Source organism: Homo sapiens, chromosome 8 (genome assembly GCF_000001405.40).
Source record: "Homo sapiens chromosome 8, GRCh38.p14 Primary Assembly".
Classification (NCBI taxonomy): Eukaryota; Metazoa; Chordata; class Mammalia; order Primates; family Hominidae; genus Homo; species Homo sapiens.
Window position 1 is genome coordinate 129,839,329 of NC_000008.11, and position 23,205 is coordinate 129,862,533.

The window sequence follows — 23,205 nt, forward strand, 5'->3', positions numbered from 1 at the left end:
CAAGTACTAGCTCTGAGGTTGAATCATCTTTTGGCAGCAGAGCTGTCTCCTTTGATCACACTGCAGCCCTCAGCTTCAATCACACTAGGTTCTCAGATAAACCTACTCTTGGATCTAGTGGAAGGAGAGGAAAATTCTTTCTGGAAAGGGCCAGATAGTAAATATATTTTAGCTTTTGAGGGCCATATGGTCTTTGTCACAACTCAATTCTGCTGCTGTCATGCAAAAGTCTCGATAAATAATGTGTCAACAAATGAGTGAGGCTTAGGTTCCAATAAAATTTTATTTATGAACACTAAAATTTGAATTTCATATGCTTTTCTCATGCCACAAAATATTATTCTTTTGATTGTATTCAACCTTTTTAAAAACCATTTTTAGCTCACAAGCTGTACAAAAACAGACGGTGAGTAAATTGGCCCACAGACCGGTTTGCTAGCCCCTGGGCTTAAGAGATCTGTCCACTTACTCCTCAACATGCAGAGTGTGAACTGTGTGAACTGCATAGGCCACAGCAATCTTACTGCATCCATTCCCGCTGCATCATTATTTTTGATTTGTATTCATTCAGTCCACCGAAGCATTCACTTGGCACCTCTCCAAATCTGGGTACTGTGCAAGATCCTTCCTTGGGACACTGAAGGAAAATCAGACACGGCCCTTCTCTCAAGTTCGCAGACTCTCCGGTATCCAGATACTACGGCTCTCATAGTATCAGAAAACACAGCCACAAGCGCAGGTAAGTATCAGAGGTGTTTTACGAGATACATGTATCAGATTCTTAAGGCTGCTGTACCAAAATACCACAAACTGCATGGCTTAAAACAACAGAAATTTATTCCCTCACAATCCTGGAGGCCAGATGTCTGAAATCAAGATATTGGTAGGGTTGGTTCCTTCTCGAGACTCTGAGGGAGAATCTGTGACATGCCTGTTTTCCTAGCTTCTAGTGACTTCCTCCAATTCTTAGGGTTCTTTGGCTCATAGATGCATTGCTCTAATCTCTGCCTCCATCTTCCCATGGCCTTCAGCTCTGTGTGTCTATTTCCCCTTCTTTTCTAAGAGCTAGTCATTGAATTTAGGGCCCACCCTACTACAGGTTGATCTCATTTCCAGGTCCTTGATTTCATCTGCAAAAACTTTTTCCAAATAATGTCACACGTGGAGATTCCCAGTGAATGTATCTCCTGGGGGCCACTATTCAGCCTATTACACTATTCTTAGAAGATGCCTAGAAGGATATGGCCAATGTTATCCAGAAGGCTTCATGAAGGAGGTAATAGAAGCTAACCCTTCAAAGATGAAAGTTGGCGTTCATTAGAGGGTCACAAGGGGAGGAAGGGAATGTCAGGTTCAGGGACCAGCCAGACCAGAGCTAAGGAAGTGACATCACATGGAACAATTTGTGAACAGCAAGCAGTAGGGCCTGGCTGCAGGACAGGGTGTGAAGTGGGGGAGCAGTGATCAGGAGGGCCAGAGAGATCAGCAGGGATGTGATCTTGAGAAGCTGTGTGTGCCATGATCTGGCCCTATTAATCCAGAAGGGTCTGATGGAAGCCTCTGTGATTCTCTTCCATGGTTAAACATTTTAATTGTATTATACCTCGGATATTCCTAAATATTTAAAACACTGGCATGGTTGAACTAGACAACCTTTAAGTAGTTTGTTCCAACCATGAGATTTAGATTTCATGATTTAGGTTTTATGATCTTAAACTGAAACCTGTTAGTTTTCTACCACTAGTGAGATCATGGCCTCTGCTTTTCTCCTGGGAAGTCCCTCTTATAATCACTCTCTTCCCATGATTAAAGGGCTACTCTGCCTTCATGTTGCTACCCGCTCCCCTGGAAATGGAGAATCAAGCAAGGATGCGGTTTTCCTTCCATTACTACATCCATACAAGAGTAAATCAAGAATAAAAGTCCAGTTAATGAAAAGATCACTGGTCTTAATATACTTAGCAAAATTTTAAAGGCAATTAAAAGTATATACATAGACAATGATCAAAATTCTAATGAAAAGACCCGGCTCTCCCCTAAAAGAAGAAAAAATCATGTAATGTATATATGCATTCCATAAAAACATACATGGGGAAAACTTCAGAAGCCTAAAAACAAAACATCAGTAAACCAAGCCACACTTAGAAAAATGAAAGCTGATTTTTATTTTATCATCAACAGCCATTCTTTAGACATGAACATGCATACGTAATATTCTACGCACACATCACAGCTTTTAACGTTAGTTAATAAAGGTTAAACACACAACATACATCCTTACAAAAAAAGTCAAAATGCAAACTTAAAACTTTAAACAAAAGTATTACTAATTTAAAAAAAGTTTGTGTTGGGTACCATTTGTACAACACAGTTAATTTAAACATTTTCATTTTGGTTGCACATGAAAAAGGCGGCAGTAGAAAATAAAGTCATTGAGGGTTTTTAAATAGCAGAATAGGCAGTTTTGCCATGCAGGAGAAGCAATATTAAATATTAGTTTCAAAAAAAATCCACATTTAAAAATATTTAGTTCAAGTCACAGAATTTTTCTCAGTAGAGACCCCAATGCAATGCATAATTAGCTGCCTTAGATGGCCCGTTTGAAAGGATGATATCCCTTCAGAGTGTAACTTTACTGATTTTGGCACAGAAAAGAAGTCTTAAGAACATGATTAAAAAAGAGGGAAGAGGAACAGAGGAAAGAAATAAAAGCAAGAATAAATGAGATAGTAATTGCAATCACTAAAAAACTGCATTCTCAGTCATTGCAGAATACTGTCTTCTGTCTACAGCAGGTGCTTATTCCAGAATTGTTATTGCAGCATGGATTTAATTTGCTTGGAGGTAGTCTCATCATTCAAATGTTTTGTTGTGTACCTAAAAAAAGAAAAGAAAAAAGATCAATTTTAGGAACTTAAAAAATAATCAGCATCGGGTTCTCTAATTATGACAGGATGGAGAATTGGTCTCAGCAAAACTCACAAAATTATGGCTTCTCATTGTAGCTTTAACCCTGTTCAGGTTCTGCACAGCCTGTCATCCTCACCCCCTTTCTAACTGAATAGCCAGTAGCTATTTAGCAGCTATTTAACTTAGTTACAACTACACTGCTGAAATGATTGGTTGACCTCTCAAGTAAACAATTAGCTGTAACTTCTCCCTCAGAAGAAAATGCTGTTCTATCCCAGAGGCTGGCAAATTATAGCCCATGGGCCATCCAATCCACCAATTTTTTTGTGGACTGTGAGCTAATTCTATTTTTTAACCTTTTGGATGACTGGGGGGCAAAGGAAGACAAAAAAAGAAATAGTAATATTTCATGTGTTATTGTGGAAATTCTATGAAATTCAAATTTCAGTGCTTACATATAAAAGTTTTACTGAAACACACCAAGTTGACTCATTCATGTATCATCTATGGTTACTTTCTTGTTATGGTGGCAGAGGTGAGGAGCTGTAACAGAAACCATGTGGCCCACAAGGCCTTTAATATCTACTTACTCTCTGGCTCTTTACAGAAAAGTGTTTCAACCCCTTTTCTATTCTGTATTTAAGATGCCTCAATTACTACAGCTGTTATATCTCTAAAATGTCTCAATTCTCCCAAGTGCCTTATTTCTAGGCATGTGTTTTGCTACATGCATGCAAATCCAACATAAGAATCCAAAAAAGAATCACAAAGAGTGATTATTATAAAGATTCACAACAGTATTCCCTTAAACAGTAAAAATCCACTAAGCAAGCTTACTATGTCTCAGGCACTGTTCAAGGAGCTTACAACCTAGCAGACGGAGAAAGATAATGATACACTAATATTAGTGACAGGGTAAAGCCTAGCAGCAAAGGAGAGAAGTATAACAAGAAGAGGCTACATACAGAGACAGGGAAACACCATCTCCCATGGACACCCAGAGGCCATACATAGTAAGGAGTTTGGAGATTATTTTAAGTGCAGTAAAAGCCAGTGGAGCATATTAAGCAGGAGAGGGGTGTGCTGCCACTTAAGTTTTATCATTCTGGCTGTTGAGGGCAAGCTGTGGAGAACAGAAGGAGCAGCAGGGAGGCATTAAATAAGGGGGCTGTTACTGAGCACCAAGTGTGAGATAATCAGATGTCAAGGCTTGGGCCAGATTACAGCAGCAATGGAGACAGGTGTTCAATGCGTGAATGTGGACTGTATTTTGGAGATAACCCAGACAGAGAAATCTGGTTCACAAGAATTCCACATATAATCTTAAGGACTAGATCGTTTTTTCTAGAGATAAGGTCTGGCTATATTACCCCGGTTGGCCTTCAATTCCTGGGCTCAAGCAATCCTCCTGCCTTGGGCTCACAAGTAGCTGGGATGACAGGTGTGTGTCACCATGCCCAGCTAGGACTACATCCTTTTCAGCAGGTCCACATAGATCTTTCTGTGTTTAAGAAATTTAAACCCAATTCCTATTAGGTTCATTTCAAATTAATTTAAAAACCGAAGAATGCTTATTAAGTACCTGATATACTGTCTACAATGTTACTGAGAAGTCACTCCCAAACTGTTCTCATGTTTTTGAATAGGTATCAGCGTGCCTGGCACATAAATGGTGCTCAATAAATACTTGCGGAAGGAAGACAAGATAAGCAGCCAGGTTGGAAAGAAAAAAAAATCCATAAAGGAATATTGACATTAAATGCTAAGTGATGTCACAAGGATTTAACCTTTTTGTTCTCTTTATGTAGATAAAGTATACGCAATTACACGAAATCCTACAGATGTCTCGTAGTTCTCAAAATTCTTCATTTGTTTCTCCTCCACTTCTTTATACAACTAAATAGTAGAAAGAGCCAAGCAATGTGCACAGTAAAATTTCTACTGCAGAGTAGTTAAAAGTATCACTACTCAGCAATGTACTGTACTATTCAAAGAGTGCTAAGTGTTTTCCTCTCTACCCATGACGCAAGTTCTCGCTCCTTCTGTGGGATGTGATCTTGGCTTCCTTCTTTGGACAAAGCCAATCCAGAGCACACTGCATCACCACACTCACTTATCAAGAAAAGGCCAATATTATCTAATATACGTGAAAATAAAACATGAAGATATATGGCATTATTTTCCTTTGTGCACAAAAACAAATTTTTTTTCCAAGTGCGACTGTTTTACTAAAGAAAACCAATTATTATTTACCTTTACTCTTAAATTTAATAAAGAAGACAATTATCTACTACTGAATCTGAACTCCCAGCTCTCTTTTTTTCTTTCCCTCTTATGATTAAATGTATTTGGTTCCATTTTTCCACCTGTAAAATGGACATATGACTTGATGCCTTCTCTTAGTAGCACAGGAAGTTCTATATAAATAATTACTACAGGAAAGCATTCAAAACAAACATATACATACATATGGAACTATTCTCTCATTTAAAATCTTTTGGTCTTTAAGTTCTATTTTGTGGAGGTGTGTAACACTCGTGTAGTACTTTTGGGGTTACAAAATGCTTTCTAAACATGTGCTCTCAGTAAAACATATTAAAGGCTAGATGGATTTCCTTTAAGAAATATTTTTCAAAGTATCAGCATTATCTACATCAGCTAGGGTGTTTGTTTAAAAGGAAAGTGCCTGAGTCCCAAGTCAGACCTGATTTTGTTGTTTCTAAAAGCAACATTTTATTTTCTAGTTTCCATTATCTATTATAATAGGAAAGAAAATGTACCAAACTGACAGGTGACTCTTGCCTCCGTGGTGCTTTCCTTCCCTCCCCTCTCCCTCAAACACAGATTACTTTGTGGGAGACTTCAACCCTGTCTTTCACTCGCCATCACTGGTCTCCTCTGCTTTCATTCTAAGGAAAAGGAAACTGAACTACCCTTAAAGTGAAACGTAGATTCTGAGTTAGGCATACTACCTTCAAGCTCAAGAAAGAATCCTAAAACCTCCTAGATCTCAATTACCTTCAAGTTTTTAAAAAAGATTTCCTGCCACTTGCTGGCTTCAAAGAGCCTGACCAATCAGAAAGACAAAGTCTTGGGAGAAAAATCAGGTTGACTGAGACACAGGGAGTATTCAGAAAGAAACCAAGGAGGAAAGACTCATGATATCATTAAATATTGGCAAAACCACTGAAGTATGCGTTGTAAAAACCCCAAGAATACAGAATTCTAAAAACTAGGCTTATGGTTAAAATAGTTTGACATTATAAGGATTTTAAATTATGTTCCTTAATCTTGCTGATGTTCATTTAGAATAGATCACCTTTATTCAGGCAGCTACCGCTTATGCAACACTTTTCATAATCTTTTAAAAACTATTTTTAAACATTTTTTCATAATCTTAATAAAATCATTTGACAGTTCCGCTTAGCTGAAATGATACAGCCTACATTTTATGTGGTAAATATCATTATATAAATATTTCTGTGTTCATGTAATTTTTGTGTTTAAACCCTCAAAAAATCAAGTAATGGGACATCATCTTTTATGTCATGTGAATACTACCAATTAAATCTCTGTAGTCAAATGTTATAAAGTATCGAGATTTTCATTTAAAAATGTTCTAGCAGCTGGGCACAGTGGCTCATGCTGTAATCTCAGCACTCTGGGAGGCCAAGGTGGGTGGATCACTTGAGGTCAGGAGTTTGAGACCAGCCTGGCCAACATGGTGAAACGCTGTCTTTACTAAAAATACAAAATACAGGCACATGCCTGTGATCCCAGCTACTCGGGAGGCTGAGGCAGGAGAAGCACTTGAACCTGGGAGGCCGAGGTTCCAATAAGCCAAGATTGTGCCACTGTACTCTAGCCTGGGTGACAGAGCGAGATTCCAACTCTAAATAACGAAATAATGTTCTAGCATTTGTAGAAGTTTGAGCAACTAAATTAAGTAAAACTAATCTAAGAAAAGACATTAAATAATGACTACTTAATTTTTATTGTAGGAAATACATAAAAATAACAGAACACAAGTCTGAGCACAAATGTAATTACATTCTATTAAGAGGAAAGAGCTAGTTACAAGCCACTTTGTAAGATATTATTTTGTAAAAAGATAACTACTACATAGAGCTATTATCTATATATGTAAAGAAAAAACTCTGGAAGGCTATATGCTAATAGTGGCTTATCTCAAAATGGTGAGATTACATTATTTCTTTTTATTTACATTTTCTTATGTTTTCTGAATTTTATTTATAACTGGTATATAATACTTTTATTACAAAAACAAGCAATCTCTGTTTGAAGAGAAGCAACAAGTAAAAGCCAAAATCTTCAACCAGAAAATGAAGCTGCTATTGTCATGTGTCCCACACATTCCTCATCATAAAATACCGTAACCAGTGTTTGGAAGCAAGATTATCAATAAACAAAATAAGATCTTCATATTTCTAGCTTGAACACTTATTTTTATATCCTATTCACACTTAATGCATTTTCTTTACATAAACATCGACCATTTTCCTTACAGATTTTTTCTGTACATACGTACACGTACATATACACACCTGAGAGCATTTAGAAGACCTTCCACACTATTAGGAGGTTGGTCCTTAAGAACTTTGATACAACCTTTCATCTAAAGAAAAAGAAAACAGAAAAGGTAAAACAGCCATTTTTTTCATGTAACATTCCTTTTCAAAATAGTAAAATAAATCAAGACCATAACTATGGAACTCAAGAGATTACATACTATGTCAAATTAATTATTCTTAGAACAGAAAAAAACCCAACCTAAGAGTTATTATTCTCACTTAGTGAAAACAAAATCTTTTTGAGAACAAAATCAGTCAAACTAATATACCACACATGCAATGAAAAACAAACGGTTTGCTAAGGGAAGACTTCTGGAAAAGGTGCTGAGTGGCGATTTAAAGGACAGAATGGGCTGGGCAGGGTGGCTCAGGCCTGTAATTCCAACACTTTGGGAGGCTGAGGCGGGCGGATCACAAGGTCAGGAGTTCGAGACCATCCTGCCTAACACGGTAAAACCCCGTCTCTACTAAAAATACAAAAAAATTAGCCAGGCGTGGTGGTGGGCGCCTGTAGTCCCAGCTACTCGGGAGGCTGAGGCAGGAGAATGGCGTGAACCCAGGAGGCAGAGCTTGCAGTGAGCCGAGATCGCACTACTGCACTCCAGCCTGGGTGACAGAGCGAGACTCCGTCACAAAAAATAAAATAAAATAAAAAATAAAGGACAGAATGAGTATGTTACTAAGGAAAAGAAGAACTTTCAGGTAGAGAAACCTCACAGAGTAAAGTATCACACAGAGGACAGATAGGAATTTTTCAGCACTGCACCTGGAGTTATGAGAGGCTGAAAGCCAGGATGAGTTATACGAAGTGTTATGCCTGGCAGCAGGGGACTCACAGGTTATTTTAAAAGGTAACCACTTGATGACGATGGTATTTAAGATATATTAGCCTGGTTGTTATAAAAAAGCATAATACAGCAGAAAGAACACAGGCTTTGGAAGCCAGAGAAATGTGGGTTCTACCTTTTCTAGCAACTCTTTTTATTTTTGAGATGGAGTCTCGCTCTGTCACCCAGGCTGGAGTGTAGTGGCGCAATCTTGGTTCACTGCAACCTCTGCCTCCTGGATTTAAGCGATTCTCCCACCTCAGCCTCCCGAGTAGCTGGGACTACAGATGTGTGCCACCACACCCAGCTAATTTTTGTATTTTTTTTCAGTAGAGATGAGGTTTCACCATGTTGGCCAGGCTGGTCTTGAACTCCTAACCTTAGGTGATCCGCCTGCCTCGGCCTGCCAAAGTGCTGGGATTACAGGCATAAACCACTGCACCCGGCCTACTAGCAATTCTATTACTTGATCTGCTAAACTTTAGTTGCCCTGTCAGTAAAGGGAGATGACACCTAAAAGAGTATTTTCAGAGTCACAAGGGAGAACAAACGTAAAATTCCTGGGACATGGCAACCATACAGTAAATATTAACTCATTTCTCTTTACATATGACAGGTGTACATGAAGGCAACAAGCTTGGCTAGTAATCAGTAATCGAGATCCGAAATGCTAAGAGCCTAAACTAGCTATGAAAGGGAAACGGGAAGACAATTCTCACCAAACACTAATGAACTAGATGTGAGAGGTTGGGGAAAGAAACTACGAAGTAGAGAAATTAGAAAACTATTTCTAATACAAACTTTTACAGAGAGAAGAAAAGTCGAGAGCCAACTATAGTCACAAATTATTATGACTAGGTAGGGGAGGGAAAATACATAAAGTCTTCATCTTTTTCCACTGGAGCATCCTACTGGCTGTCTTTTTAATTTCAAGACAGGGTCTCTCTCTCACCCAGACTGAATGCAGTGGTGTGATCGTGGCTCACTGCAGGCTGGAACTCCTGGGCTCAAGGGATCCTCCCACTTCAGCCTCTCAACGTAGCTGTGACTACCGATGTGTGCCACCACACCTGGCTAATTTTTTTTTTTTTTTTGTAGAAATGGGGGTCTCACTATGCTGCCCAGGCTGGTCTTCTACTCCTGGGCTCAAGTGATCCTCCTGCTTCAGCCTGCCAAAGTGCTTGGGCTACAGGCATGAGCCAGCACGCCCAGCAGCACTACTGACTTTTTATATGCATTCTGAAATAAACATTTTATTTGAAATGGCCTTTGGCCAAAGGAATTAAAGGATATGACTCAAAATTCCTTATATCTAATTATCTATTTATATTGCCAAATACGTAGTAGAAGCCTTCCAGGAGGTACTCACTAGACAATATAGTCATCCTTTGATCATTCTATTCCACCTGAATACAGGCCACAAGAAAAACAGCACAGGGACAGAGGAGATGAAAGTCCACCATTTCACAAACTATAAATCTGAGTTTTGTGAGAGTCCGGTTTGCTGGCTCTTATCATAAAATAAAATCCTATGGTTTCCATGGAGAAACTCGTTTGAAATTATTTATATAAAACAATAACTTACATCAATTTTGGAAGTTTTAGCAAATGCTCCCACTGGATGTACGTGGTCATAGAGTATTATGACACCCACCATTACCCTCAAGCAGAATGACACTGTCTCTTCATTTGTAAATCTGCTTCTGTATTCCCTGAAGAGTAGATAAGATATGCATGGAAGAAGTGCATTACAAAATTCTTTTTAAAAACACACACACACAAGAAAAACCTCTTCTGAAATATTTTATTCAAATTTCTATCCATTAGTTGAATGCAGTATGTTCACAAGTAGCCACACTGATACATTCAAATCTTATGTCTGTTTTCCTTTCCAAATCAACCCCCTGAAAGGGATATAAAATTCTTTAATGAGGTGATTCAACTTTCAGCTGATGCTGACTTGCCCCTTTGATCTCTAAAAGGTATACTAACATTATGCCCCTTACTCCACAATGAGATCCCCAGAGATATGAGAAGATGGTGAGTGGAACAGTCATCACCCATGTATTCTGGTTTCTATAATATCTGCACCCACATTAGTGCACTGCTCCTCTGCTAGACCGATAGCAACAATTTTAGAGAATAGATGCTACGTAATGGTTGTTAGCACCTATAGTGAAAAATCACTAGCTTAATAGAGCAAGCAGGTTTGCTATTTAGGTGCTAACTTGATCTAAATACATTATAGTATTACTGGATATCAATTTTACTAAAACTCAATCATATTCTCCTCTCATTTGTGAAAAAGAAAATTGAACTTTTATCTATATATAGAAGGCAGTATATCATAGCGGAAAGAGTACGGAACCAGGATAGAGACATCCAAGCACATGGATAGTGTCCCTTCATTTCCCAGGACCTCACTCCCTGAAGTTGGTGGTGGGGGGAAGGAAGATGATTATGATGATAGTTGCCCTCCTATTTCATAAGGTTTTCCAATGAGATGATGTACAGTATAGTGCTTTGGACCATCATATATGTGGCCCATTGTTGACCAAAACGTCATTAAGCAGCACATGACTGTATTTATTATTCTGGAATCCAGGAGGGATTCTTTCTGCCTGCTAACAGGAAAAATCCAGCCAGGACACACTGTATCATACATCATAAATGTTTAGAGAGGAGAGAAAAAAAAACAGAATTCAGGTTCGTGTTGGAAAAAAAAAAGAAAAGAGTGACAATTAATTATTGAGAGAAAAAGGGATAAACAGAAGAATAATTCCAGCCCTTTGGCAAAAGGGTAAGATTCTTTACTAAATATGGAAAAAGAACATTTATGGTAAGTATAACCAAGGAACTTTAAAGTTCTTCTCCTACATCCCAGCCACCAAAACACCACCACCACTTCTGTTCTGAGAAGAGAACTAAGAGTCTGAGTCAGTCTGAGTGGTCTGAGGTACCTGAAGACCAACTAACTCTATTTTATACTTAACCAGAAGTTACGTTAAATAGCCAAATTATTTTAAGTTTGTTCATATATTAACATTCAATATTTGGAATATACTTACTTTCCACCTTCCAGATAAAACATGTTAACATGTTCATATATGAACATGTTTTGAAATATCAGTCATCTCAACAGCACTGTTAAAGTGAAAAAGATCAGCTGATACTCACGGTGTTTCCAGCATGACTCTGCATACACTAGCCATTGTGCTTAAACAATCTGTGGTATTTTCTATTGGTAAATTTTTATTCTGTAGAAGTATATGAAGAACAAAAAAAGTAAAAGTAACAAACGTTATTACTTAAGCACAATTTAAAATTTAGCGTAATATGAAAAATTAGCAACTTTAAAACCTGGTTCCTACTCCTAATTTTCTAAATAATGCACTAGACTCTAAGCAACTGTTCCAAGCACTGGGGATACAGCTATGAGCAAGACAGCGAAGGCAGGACTCTTCTGAAAGGCACCTGCATTCCAGCAATGTAAGAACAACTGCAACAATGCAGACAGGGGGTCAAAGGTGTAGAGTTTTATAGGCTATGAAATAGTTGGATTTTATCCTAAGGGTACTAGGAAGTCACTGGGAACATTTTACATGGAGGAGGGAGGGAACATGGTTTATGTTTTAAGATTACTTGGTTGCTCTATGGAGAAAGGACTATATTGGGGCAAGAGTGGAGGAAGTAAGAATGGTCAGGACACGAATGCAGTAATCCAGATGAGAAGTCTGATGTGGCTGGTGGCAAGAAAGCAACTTAAGTTTTCAGAATCATGATATATTAGTATTTTGGAGGGAAAGCCAATGAGACTGTTTGATGGAATACATGTAGGGAGTGAGGTATAGAAAGGAATTTAGGATGATGGCCAGGCGCGGTGGCTCATGCCTATAATTCCAGCACTTTGGGAGGCGGAGGCAGGCGGATCACCTGAGGTCGGGAGTTCGAGACCAGCCTGACCAACATGCAGAAACCCCATCTCTACTAAAAATACAAAATTAGCCGGGCGTGGTGGCACATGCCTGTAACCCCAGCTACTAGGGAGGCTGAGGCAGGAGAATCGCTTGAACCCGGGAGGCGGAGTTTGTGGTGAGCTGAGATCACGCCATTGCACTCCAGCCTGGGCAACAAGAGTGAAACTCTGTCTCAAAAAAAAAAGAAAGGAATTTAGGATGACATAAGTTGTAAGTTTTTGCCTGCACTGGTACTGTTAATTGAGAAAGCAAAAACTAAAGAAAGGGCAGGGTTAGAAAACGCAACCCAGAGTTTGGTTTGGCCATGCCATCAGCTATCACTGAGGTTTCCACCATCCCTCCAGAGAAACTGCAAATACGTGGACAGGTGTGCACATGTGGGCCTCAGAAAAAAGTCAGGACTCAACACATACATCTGGGAGTCTGTTGGTTTCAAGATGGTATTTAATGTCTTGGGCTTGCTGACATCACGTCTGCCAACAGGGGCATAAATAACAACACAGAGTACCTGCCTAGGCAATGCTTACCTCTGATACAAATTTTGTTGTGGCATCACTCAAGGTTTTCAGCATTGGAGTTGCCTCAGCATAAAACAAAGACATTCGATTTGCCAATTCATTATTTACTTCATTTTCTCCTTCTGCCTGTGGGGAAGGTAAAAGCACTGGATGTTAGTTCACAAATTATTACATATAATAACAATTATACAAGGACCCAGGCAGGGTGCCTGCCTCAATTACATTTTAGACTCTCATGTATCGATAATACTCAAATATTCTTTTTAAAAAAAAGTTATTTTTTTTAAAAAAAGATTAACCTCTTCAAAAATATTTTAAATGATATTAAAGAATTTAAATAAAACCTTGATGAACTGTCTACTACATACAAGAGATTCTAAATGTTATGGAGGACAGAAAAATGATTATAAAATTGTACCGTCCTCCATTATGAACAATAAGTATCCATACAACATCCATGGTAAGATTCTAACAGGTGATAACACAAAAAGGGAGTCAGAGAACATTAAGTTGGAACAGAAGAAACTAAGGAGAAGAGTTATCCTTTTGCAGGTCATATTGGGCAGGTAAACAAGGTATTCCAATCTGGCAGGGGAAAGAGTATGTTTTCAAATGACTCCCTAAAGAGTAATTCAGCATATTCAGTGTAATAAGGGGCTGCAACCAACGAAAGATACAGGTTGGGGTCAGACTGTATAGTGCCATAAATGCTAGCTTAAGTTCATATTTTTCTTCCATGTGGAATGGGGAGCCATTCAGTGTGTTAGATGAAAGGAATGACAACTAAGTCAGTTTCCTAAAGAAAATTAACTGATAATCGTGGGCAGATTGTACCAAAATGGAAAAAGACTTGTAGGTCCGAAAATGAGTTATGCTGTGCAGAGTGACTGCCAGAAAGAGTGGGAATTAGGCTCTCTGTTGGAACAGTGGGAGGAGGAGATGGAAAGGGGGATGGAGAAGACATTTCAGAGATATTTCACTTGAAAAAAATTGGATTTTACCTGTAATTATTGAGGGTAAAAGGGAGAACCAAGATGACTAATGTCTTTAGCCTTAAGTGATGGCAAGGATGGGTATAGTATAGGATTGGCTGCTTTGCTTTTTGCTTTTATCTTATTTTACATGGTAGGTATGAAAAAGACAGATGTTAAGGTCAGTCTCACACGAGGAACTGGTCTATGCAAAAATCAAATTGATGCAAATTACAGATGTTTCATAAAGAGGAATCTTTTCCTCCAACTCAGTGCCTTAGTGCAAGTGCTTCCTAAAATATTTTTTCAAGGAAAAAGAAAATGAATGATAGTCTTTGATATATATATTTTAAATATCTTATGCCACTTATTACTCCTTACATAGTTACAGTATTTCTCTATTAAACTATCTATTTGAAACAAGGGTTGATCTTTGAAATTTTTCAGACCAATTATAAGGTTCTCAGAAACACAGAGAACAAGTTAATATTTTCTTCCGCTCTAGTTTTACTTATGGTATTTAGTTCCTTGGAGGTAGAAAAGAGTAATAAACAGCTTAAGAGGAGGATGGTAAGAAGTTAAGAGACCTAAAGAAGCCAGAAGAAATGCTATACTAGCCAAGGAGCAGGCACAAAGCCATTTTCTCAAACAGCTATATCAGGCACAGATGTGTTAACAGGCCATGACCTCACTATCACCTCTTGCCAGCATTAACCATTAATTTCTTGGAGGAAAACGGACTTGGGTTCAAGATTTCTCTCCAAGAAATTAACCCACGTCAATTTCTCTCCAAGACTCTTCCATTCTAAGAATATAGAGACAAAAAACTCGTAACTATGAATTCACAGAATTTCTGTACAGTTAAAATGAGAGTACATCGCGAAATTTTATAAGGATCAACGTTATACAGATAAGCAATTTTGTTGAAGTAGTTGTGGGAATTTAAGAGACTGTGAAGAAAAACAGGTAAACACCATATGGTTTGTTACAGTTTGCTTTTCCTCCTACAGCTATGGCTGCCCATAATTACTAACTTTATTACTAGCTTTAACACTATCTGAATGAACAAACAAAATAATAAAATGAACAGGCTGAGCACTAAGTTACTCTTACCATCCCCCTAATTCAAAGCATTAACTTACCGGTACATTGTTAATCCTCATACGACTCAATGTTCTTCTATAATAGCTGAAATCATTCTGTATGGCAGGATTTGTCATCTGAAGAAGACAGTTGTGGAAAAAAAATGTTATGTACTAAATGCTAATGTAAAAAAACTAAGTAAAAAATCTTTAGTTTTAATTAGTATAAAACATTCCATAATTCATAGTATCATTTTAAGAACTAGCACTGGTATAATCCAAGGTGGCTTATAACTGTATTTAGTCCTTACTGAACATATAAAACGAAAGACCACAGGCAGTATACTTTCCCTTTTCTTTTCAGTTAATTTCAGGTAATGTACTAAAAGCTTGTTTATCAAATAAACAAAAACAAAAAGGACTGTTTAGGCACTTGTTTTTAGTTATTACGATAAAAGTATGTAGGTATGGTCAACAGAGCAATCCTCAAACTAGAATTTTACATACAAATCTGACTGTGATACAACTATAAAATGCTGAAGTTTGGAATCCAGCTCTTCCATTTTCTAGACAGGGTACCAGAGGCCCTGAAAAATCAAAGGACGTGCCCAACGTCTCATGACTAGGGTTACTGTGGCAGAGTATAAACTGGAACTCAGGTCTCTTGATATGAGACCTAGTGCTTATTCCTTTACATTCATTCTTTTTAACAACAAGGTATTTATAGTTCCAAACACTATAAACAATGACAGAGGAAAAAAGAAACAGAAAGAAAGGAAGAAAGCGGGAAAGGAGGAAGGGAGAAAAAAGAAATTTTAGCAACATTTTAATATAAAAGAATGTTGAAAAACGGGGGTAGAGGGTGTGAGCAGAAAAGAAAAAGTATTAGAAAAAAAGCTCAACCTTTTGTTTCGGAGATTAATTTTTAAACAAGGTTAAATGAAGACTGCTGAGACATGTGGATCACCTGAGGTCAGGAGTTCGAGATCAGCCTGGCCAACATGGTGAAACCCCGTCTCTACTAAAAATACAAAAATTAGCCAGGCGTGGTGGCACATGCCTGTAATCCCAGCTACTTGGGAGGTTGAGGTGGGAGAATCACTTGAGCCCAGGAGGGAGAGGTTGCAGTGAGCTGAGATCACGCCACTGCACTCTACCCTGAGTGACAAAGCAAGGCTCTGCCTCAAAAAAAAAAAAAAAAGATTGAGACCGAATACTCAGTAATTTGCTCTTTGCCATGTATCAAAAGACCCGTCATTAATTTCTAAATCCAGCTTTGCATTTTTATTAAGGTCTAGCAGACATCATTTAAATACATTTTAACAATGTTTCCCGGCTCTTCCTCCTAGTACTCATTAAAAGATTCATGATTTTCGTAACAATCAGGGCCAATAGATAATTCTACCTTGAGTTCATCAAACCGGAGTGTGAAATGAAGAATTTCTGCAAACTGTTTAGCAAGAGCCTGCTCTCGCTCTAGATGCTGGGTGGGAGAATATGGGGTACTTGTTAAGGCTCCCAGAAGACCTCTTAATGCTGCTTCTAAAGAAAAAAATTGAAAAAAACATTAAGTTGTTTGTATCTGTGTGATATTTGTTTATTAAAAAGTGAACAATTCATAAATGTTAATTCCCAGAAAAGTTCTCTTTAAAAAACAGATGATCTAAACATAATAAAACTAATTAAGAAGTTTAAATGTTGCCATTGCTAATGTACTACACACATTCTGAATACTATTTAACAGAATAAAAACCTTAAACGGACTAATTCAAGGGTTTATAATTCTGTAAACCCAGATTGAAAATAGTGCAGAAGTGAATTTGAATTCAACACCAAAGGGCAAGTTTTATATTACTTTAATCACTTCACACAGTGTGGAATTTGGTTTTATGAAATGGTAACTATTATCTACAGCTGAGTAACTTTCTTCAATGGCACTGTGTCCACACTGTCTGTATATGCCTATGAATCAATTACCAATTTCTCATACTTTGAATACATCCTTTATTTATAACCACAAACTGTTTGCTTTCAGCTACTAAAGAGAACAAAATATGTGGTTCAATAAGCTTCTTGTCTTAGAACTTGACATTTCAAGACTACAATATAAATATTCTAATTCATTATGTGAGCAAAATGGTCCCTTTGAAATAAGTGCTACTTTTGGGATGCCAGGCTAATAAATACCATGTTTGATAATGGAAATACTAAATACTAATACTAATATTAAATACTAAATACTAATATTTCATTTCAATATTTCAAAAAGCCATAGAAATCAAATGAATTCAGTTACAGATCACAGAACTGGAAAATGCTGCTAGATTCTGGTCAGAGAAAATAAGAGCTTACAGAGTTAAACTATGATCTGATGTTAATAAATGTCAGATTAACAAACAAATATTAATGATAAATTTAAAACTTTATGTCAGGTCATCAGCCCGTAACTTTAAAAAAACCCCAGTTTTCCTATTTATGAAGATTTACGTATGAGTCAACATCTACTGTACACTGAATATAGTCTCCCATTTGATTTTTACCATCAACTATGACATGGTCATTCCAGATGGATCAAATGAGTTTCAAAGAACTTAGAGCCCAAAGTTATAGCTAGTAAATGCTAGGTATTTCTGACTCCAAAGCCCTATTCTTTCTACCACAATAAACTGTCTCTGAAATAAAGCAACATTGTACGTAGCCTCTGTAACTTTATAAAACATTAACCTCCTGATTACTACCAATAGTACCAATTACTTCTGTAACCCTACAAAACATTAATCTACTGATTAAAAACAATAGTAGGTACTTCCTGTGTGTCTGTCAGATACCAGGTACTGAACTATTTCTTCACAGACATTATTTCTCATCCATGTAATAACTCTAAATGACAGCTATTATCCTTTTTTTTCCAGTAAGTCTGAAAATGTACTGACTGGCTACTCTGTGCCAAGCACTGGGAAAATGGATGTAGACAGACATGCTCCCTGTGCCCATATGGAGCCTTATTATATAGAGAGAAGACAGACAAATGATTACAGCTGTGATATGTGCTGAAAATAAGTACAGTGGAAAGGTATAAAAATAAGACCTCACCTAATGGAAGGCCCAGGAAAAGATCTCCCTGAATAAATGACTCCTGGACTGAGACTGAAGTATGTAGTAAGGATGAACATGAGTTTGCAGACAGAAAGGCAGGAAGCCAGACCCTGAACTGAGAAGAGCATGACATACTTGAGGAACTGCAACACCACCAATATAGGAGCACAGAGGGCAAGGAGGAGGGTAACCAGGACTAAGATGATTCATACACATGTAATTTGTGGACCACATTAAGTACTCGGGCTTTGGCATCCTAATGTCCCTAGAGAAATCATCTAAGCAGAGGAGTGGCGTCAGCAGATTCGCATTTTAAAATGCTACTTCATTTGCAGTGTGGAGCATGGACTATAGGGGTATGGATGGTGTATCAAGGTGTAACAGTGGATGTGAAGAAGATCAATTAAAAGTCAAACATTTTGGGTTATATTTTAAAAATGGTTTACTTCTCCCAAGATTCATTCTTTCTGTTGGTGTTAACTGGAAAACTAAGTAAGAGAGACACCGAACAGAAAAAAACATTTTTACAAAATATTATTATAGTCTGTTAAAGAAAAAAAGAAAAATGCATCTGCCTAGACTTTATCAAGTCTCAGGGTTAATTTCAGCATTCCAAGTTCTCTACCACTTTTGGGACTGGAGTCAGGTCGCTTGACTAAGTTGGGATGGTCAGTGACCAGTAGTTGCAGAACTTTTGTCTATGAATGGCTGAGGCCCTCCATGGTAGATCTATGTTGAAAGGGAAGCTCAAGATGATAAATCTGCTAATCTGCCTTTGAAGCAGCTAGATCAGCCTCACCCTGCAGGCCTGTGCTGGCACAAGTCAGTCCTACTAGCCTACAATGCTCTGTCTCAAGAGAGAAACTGGAGACAATCCCACAGAAAATGTCCCAGAGGTCTCTGGATGAGTTGGAGAGAAAGAGAGGACAAAGAAAAGATGCCTGGGATTGGACTCAGATGAAGCTCCTAAAACAAAACCATGAGATTATGATTTTTTAAAAAGCAGATGACCAGGAGAAAATTAATAGTCTATTAAGCCCTAAGTTCTGGAAGAACCAAAGGAAGCTGGCAGATGAGTGCAGGAGCCAAAACCACAGAAGGAGGTTGCAAGGAAAAGACAACTAGAAGGAATGATAAAGATGACAAATCAGTCCACAAGCTAGGACAGGGAAGAATAACTAGTTGATTAGGAAGAGGAGGCCCCTGGGGAGAGTTTCCCTATAGAGACAACAGTCGTTTATTCTCATCAACTGCCATCTATCTACTCTCAAACTCTCAGAAGAGAACCTGAGGACATGGATTCTAAAGGATTTAAGACAACCAAGAGTCATGACCACAATTAACGGTGGGCATTTGGGGCCTTTAAAATACATTTTGATAAATTCTGCCCAGTGAAACGAAGCTAACATGTTGAAGGGACTTATTATGACCCTTGGAGGCAGTCCCTAATGTAAGCCCCTAAAGCATGAGCAAGACTGAGGGGAGACAAAGCAGTTTGTCCTACTACCTGACCATACAACCTTCCCTTAGGTATCTGCCTCAACAGGAGGGGCTCCAAGGCCTCAGAACAAAACAAGCAAGTACAGAACAAGCAAGTATGGCAAGTTTACTGTAGGGTCCAGCCCCACAGGGTCGGTGGGTTTCTCCCCGTGTGCAGAGACGAGAGAGTGTAGAAATAAAGACACAAGACAAAGATAAAAGAAAAGACAGCTGGGCCCGGGGGACCACTACCACCAAGACGCAGAGACCGGTAGTGGCCCCGAATGCTAGGCTGCACTGATATTTATTGGATACAAGACGAAGGGGCAGGATAAGGAGTGTGAGCCATCTCCAATGATAGGGAAGGCCACATGGGTCACATGTCCACTGGACAGGGGGCCCTTCCCTGCCTGGCAGCCAAGGCAGAGAGAGAGAGGAGAAAGAGCGAAACAGCTTACATTATTATTTCTGCTTATCAGGGACTTTTAGTACTTTCACTAATTTGCTACTGCTAACTAAACGGCAGAGCCAGGTGTACAAGATGGAACATAAAGGCGGACTAGGAGCGCGACCACTGAAGCTCAGCATCACAGGGAGATGGTTAGGCCTCCGGATAACTGCAGGTGGGCCTGACTAATGTCAGGCCCTCCACAGGAGGTGGAGGAGCAGAGTCTTCTCTAAACTCCCCCGGGGAAAGGGAGACTCCCTTTCCCAGTCTGCTAAGTAGCGGGTGTTTTTCCTTGACACTGAGGCTACCGCTAGACCACAGTCCGCTTGGCAACGGCCATCTTCCCAGACGCTGGTGTCACCGCTAGACTAAGGAGGCCTCTGGTGGCCCTGCCTGGGCATAACAGAAGGCTCGCACTCTTGTCTTCTGGTCACTCCTCACTATGTCCCCTCAGCTCCTATCTCTGTATGGCCTGGCTTTTCCTAGGTTATGATTATAGAGCGAGGATTATTATAATATTGGAATAAAGAGTAATTGTACCAATTAATGATTAATGATATTCATATGTAATCATATCTAAGATCTATATCTGGTATAACTATTCTTGTTTCATATTTTATTATACTGGAACAACTCGTGTCCTCGGTCTCTTGCCTCGGCACCTGGGTGGCTTGCCGCCCACATTTACCAGGGCAGTGTAGTTAAACCCTGTCAGCAAAACTGAGTATCTTCAAATTAAGCAGGTAATCCTTGCCCTGTCCCATTGTAAGTATGCAAACTGGCAAGGGATCAGGGTCCTTCTTCTGAAGTATAACCCATGGTGTATCTGTAGTGCTCAGGCCAAGAAACCTTCTCCTTAGAACTGCAAGATTCTGAAGGATCATGTGTGTCTTCATAGTTGCATGCTGCTCCATGGTGCTGTTTGTGCTGGAATAGCACCCATGATGGGACACACACCACGAGACCGATTAATTCCCATGGTAAAAATATAACACTTAAGTCCAACTAGTTTGGCCTATTTTACAATTATTCTTTGTGTATTGGGATATGCTAAAAGACCAAGATGAGCTTGAATAGCATCTGAGCACCATCAAAAGCAATTTAACTATAAATGCAGCCAGAAACCAGCGTAAGAAAAGCTGTATATAGTAGAGAAGACAACCAAGACAGAAAACCTAGGCTGATTGGGTTATAAAGTGCAAAGCTACAAACTATAGAGACTCTTGATTGAAAGACAAATACTGTAAAATAACTAATACTAAAATTGGGAAAATAAATTACAATTCTTATTTCCAGTAAGAAAAAGATAATTTATACAATATTTCTATCCAAACTACTGTCTGTCTTAACATTACATTTAACAGGCTGTACTGCATCTAAAGGAAAAACAGCAACTGTCTTACTTTTTTTTAAGAACATAGGCATTTTTAAAAAATGGAACTTCAACTTCAGAAGTTACAAATACAAATGGCCAAATAGCAAATATAAATATAGTAAGATATTAAAAAACATGAAGCAATAAAAACTTATTACAAACTAGAAAGCACAAGTCCTAACTAATGGAGGCAGAGATGGTTTGCCATGTGGTTCTGGCTCTCTAACATGCAGATCAATTATTGCTAGTTGGAGGCTTAAAGAAAAAAAAAAAAAAAACCATACAGTGACCAAGTGTTAAACCTGGCAACTAAGTAGAAATTTTCAAAATTATGTGGGCCAGACAAATCACATCTCTCAAGTCTAAATTTAGCTTTTGGGTCCCCAGTTTGACTTCAGTCTTACAGTATATACCCCCTGGTTTCTGGCTTATGTATTTAAAAAACAATCACAGTATGATTTTCTTATGATTAATTTGTAATGTTTATACATTTCAAAAATTCAAACTATATGGAAGTACGTGTTTTAACTACATTCAAATCGTCCTAATTTCTGACACACATCTATACTATTCCTCTCCTGTGTCTATTCACTGTACAAAATAAAGTGCTTCACATTTACAACTTTAAAATCAAACAAAGAGCTAACTGGCTAAATCTTACCTGCTCTGCCTCCTCCTCCTCCAATAAAGGGAGTTCCAATTTTGCTTACTCATATTGAAGACACAATTCTGACCTTTGAATAATTTTTCCCAAGCAAGGGAAAAAGCAAACTGTTTTGAACTCTTTTTGCTTTAATAACTCCCTAGACAACTTTGGGTATATCATTAGCTTTCTATTTCTTTCTTTCTTTTTTGAGACAGGGTCTCACTTTGTCGCCCAGGCTGGAGTGCAGTGGTGTGATCACAGCTACTGCAGCCTTGACCTCCTGGACTCAGGTGATCCTCCCACCTCAGCCTCCAGAGTAGATGAGACCACAAGCATGTGCCACCACACTCAGCTTATTTTTGTTTGTTTGTTGTTTTTTTTTTTTTTGAGACGGGATTTTGCCATGTTGCCCAGGCTGGTCTCGAACTCCTGAGCTCAAGCAATCTCCCAACCTCAGCCTCCAAGTGTTGGGATTACAGAAATGAGCAAGCACACCCAGCCTATTTCTCATCTTCTACAGTTTTAGATACATGAATTAAGCGTAACCAGTAAAAATTTCAAGAAAACCTCTTTGATTTCTTTGGATGCTAAAGGGTCCTATTATGAGAAATCACTTGGTAGAATCTCTCTCCATCGCTACAGTAAGTCCTTTTCCCATATATGGGAAAGTAATCCTCAGGCCCTTGGTTAGTCAAACTTTTGTGTTCTTAAAATCATTTAAAATCAATGCTCAGATTCATGTATGTAAAACGACAGATGATGAGGAAAATAACTTGTGGACAAAAATGGTCTAAATGAATTAAAAGGCCAGGGTTGAAAGAAGATTAACTATAATCTTACAGTCTAACAAGCTTGCTTTACTTATAAAACAGATACTAAGCCAAATTCAGCATTATGAACATAAAAAAACTCTAAACTTCTGGAATGAATAAACATCTTTTTCACTAGGGAAGTCACAATTACAAAACTTTCAACTTACCTAACCTCTGAGAAAATTCGTAAAATTTCTTTAATTTGCCTACTAGTGGAACAACTGCACCCCATGCCTTCTCTTGCAACTTCTCATCTGCTGGATGCTGGATTGCCTTCAAAATCCAAAGAATAAAAATAGTTAGAGTTAAAAAAAAAAAAAGGTTCATTTTTACATTAAAATGTAGGCTTTAGCAAACATAGGAAACACTGGTATAATCCATAAAATATAGAATATTGAATCTAGGAGTGTTGAATATTTTTTTTTTTGAGAGAGCGTCTCACTCTGTTGCCCAGGCTGAAGTGCAGTGGCGT

At 38.3% G+C, this 23,205-nt stretch overlaps 1 protein-coding gene across 84 annotated transcripts in view; it reads right to left on the minus strand.

Annotated features, from left to right (window-relative positions):
* Positions 1–264: 264 nt before the first annotated feature.
* CYRIB (CYFIP related Rac1 interactor B) overlaps positions 265–23,205 on the minus strand; it is a 177,537-nt gene continuing 154,596 nt past the window's right edge. For 74 of the 84 annotated variants that reach the window (NM_001353270.1, NM_001353245.1, NM_001353252.1 and 71 more), the window contains 8 exons: positions 22,901–23,006; positions 16,283–16,419; positions 14,938–15,015; positions 12,834–12,950; positions 11,507–11,586; positions 9,915–10,041; positions 7,476–7,546; positions 265–2,877 (listed from right to left, as the gene is read on the minus strand). In NM_001353270.1, the coding sequence (NP_001340199.1) occupies positions 2,814–2,877; positions 7,476–7,546; positions 9,915–10,041; positions 11,507–11,586; positions 12,834–12,950; positions 14,938–15,015 (537 nt within the window). In that variant the 5' untranslated portion in view covers positions 16,283–16,419; positions 22,901–23,006 and the 3' untranslated portion in view covers positions 265–2,813. The remainder of the gene's footprint in view (positions 2,878–7,475; positions 7,547–9,914; positions 10,042–11,506; positions 11,587–12,833; positions 12,951–14,937; positions 15,016–16,282; positions 16,420–22,900; positions 23,007–23,205) is intronic. The other 10 variants (NM_001353269.1, NM_001353273.1, NM_001353282.2 and 7 more) reach the window with 1 other exon arrangement.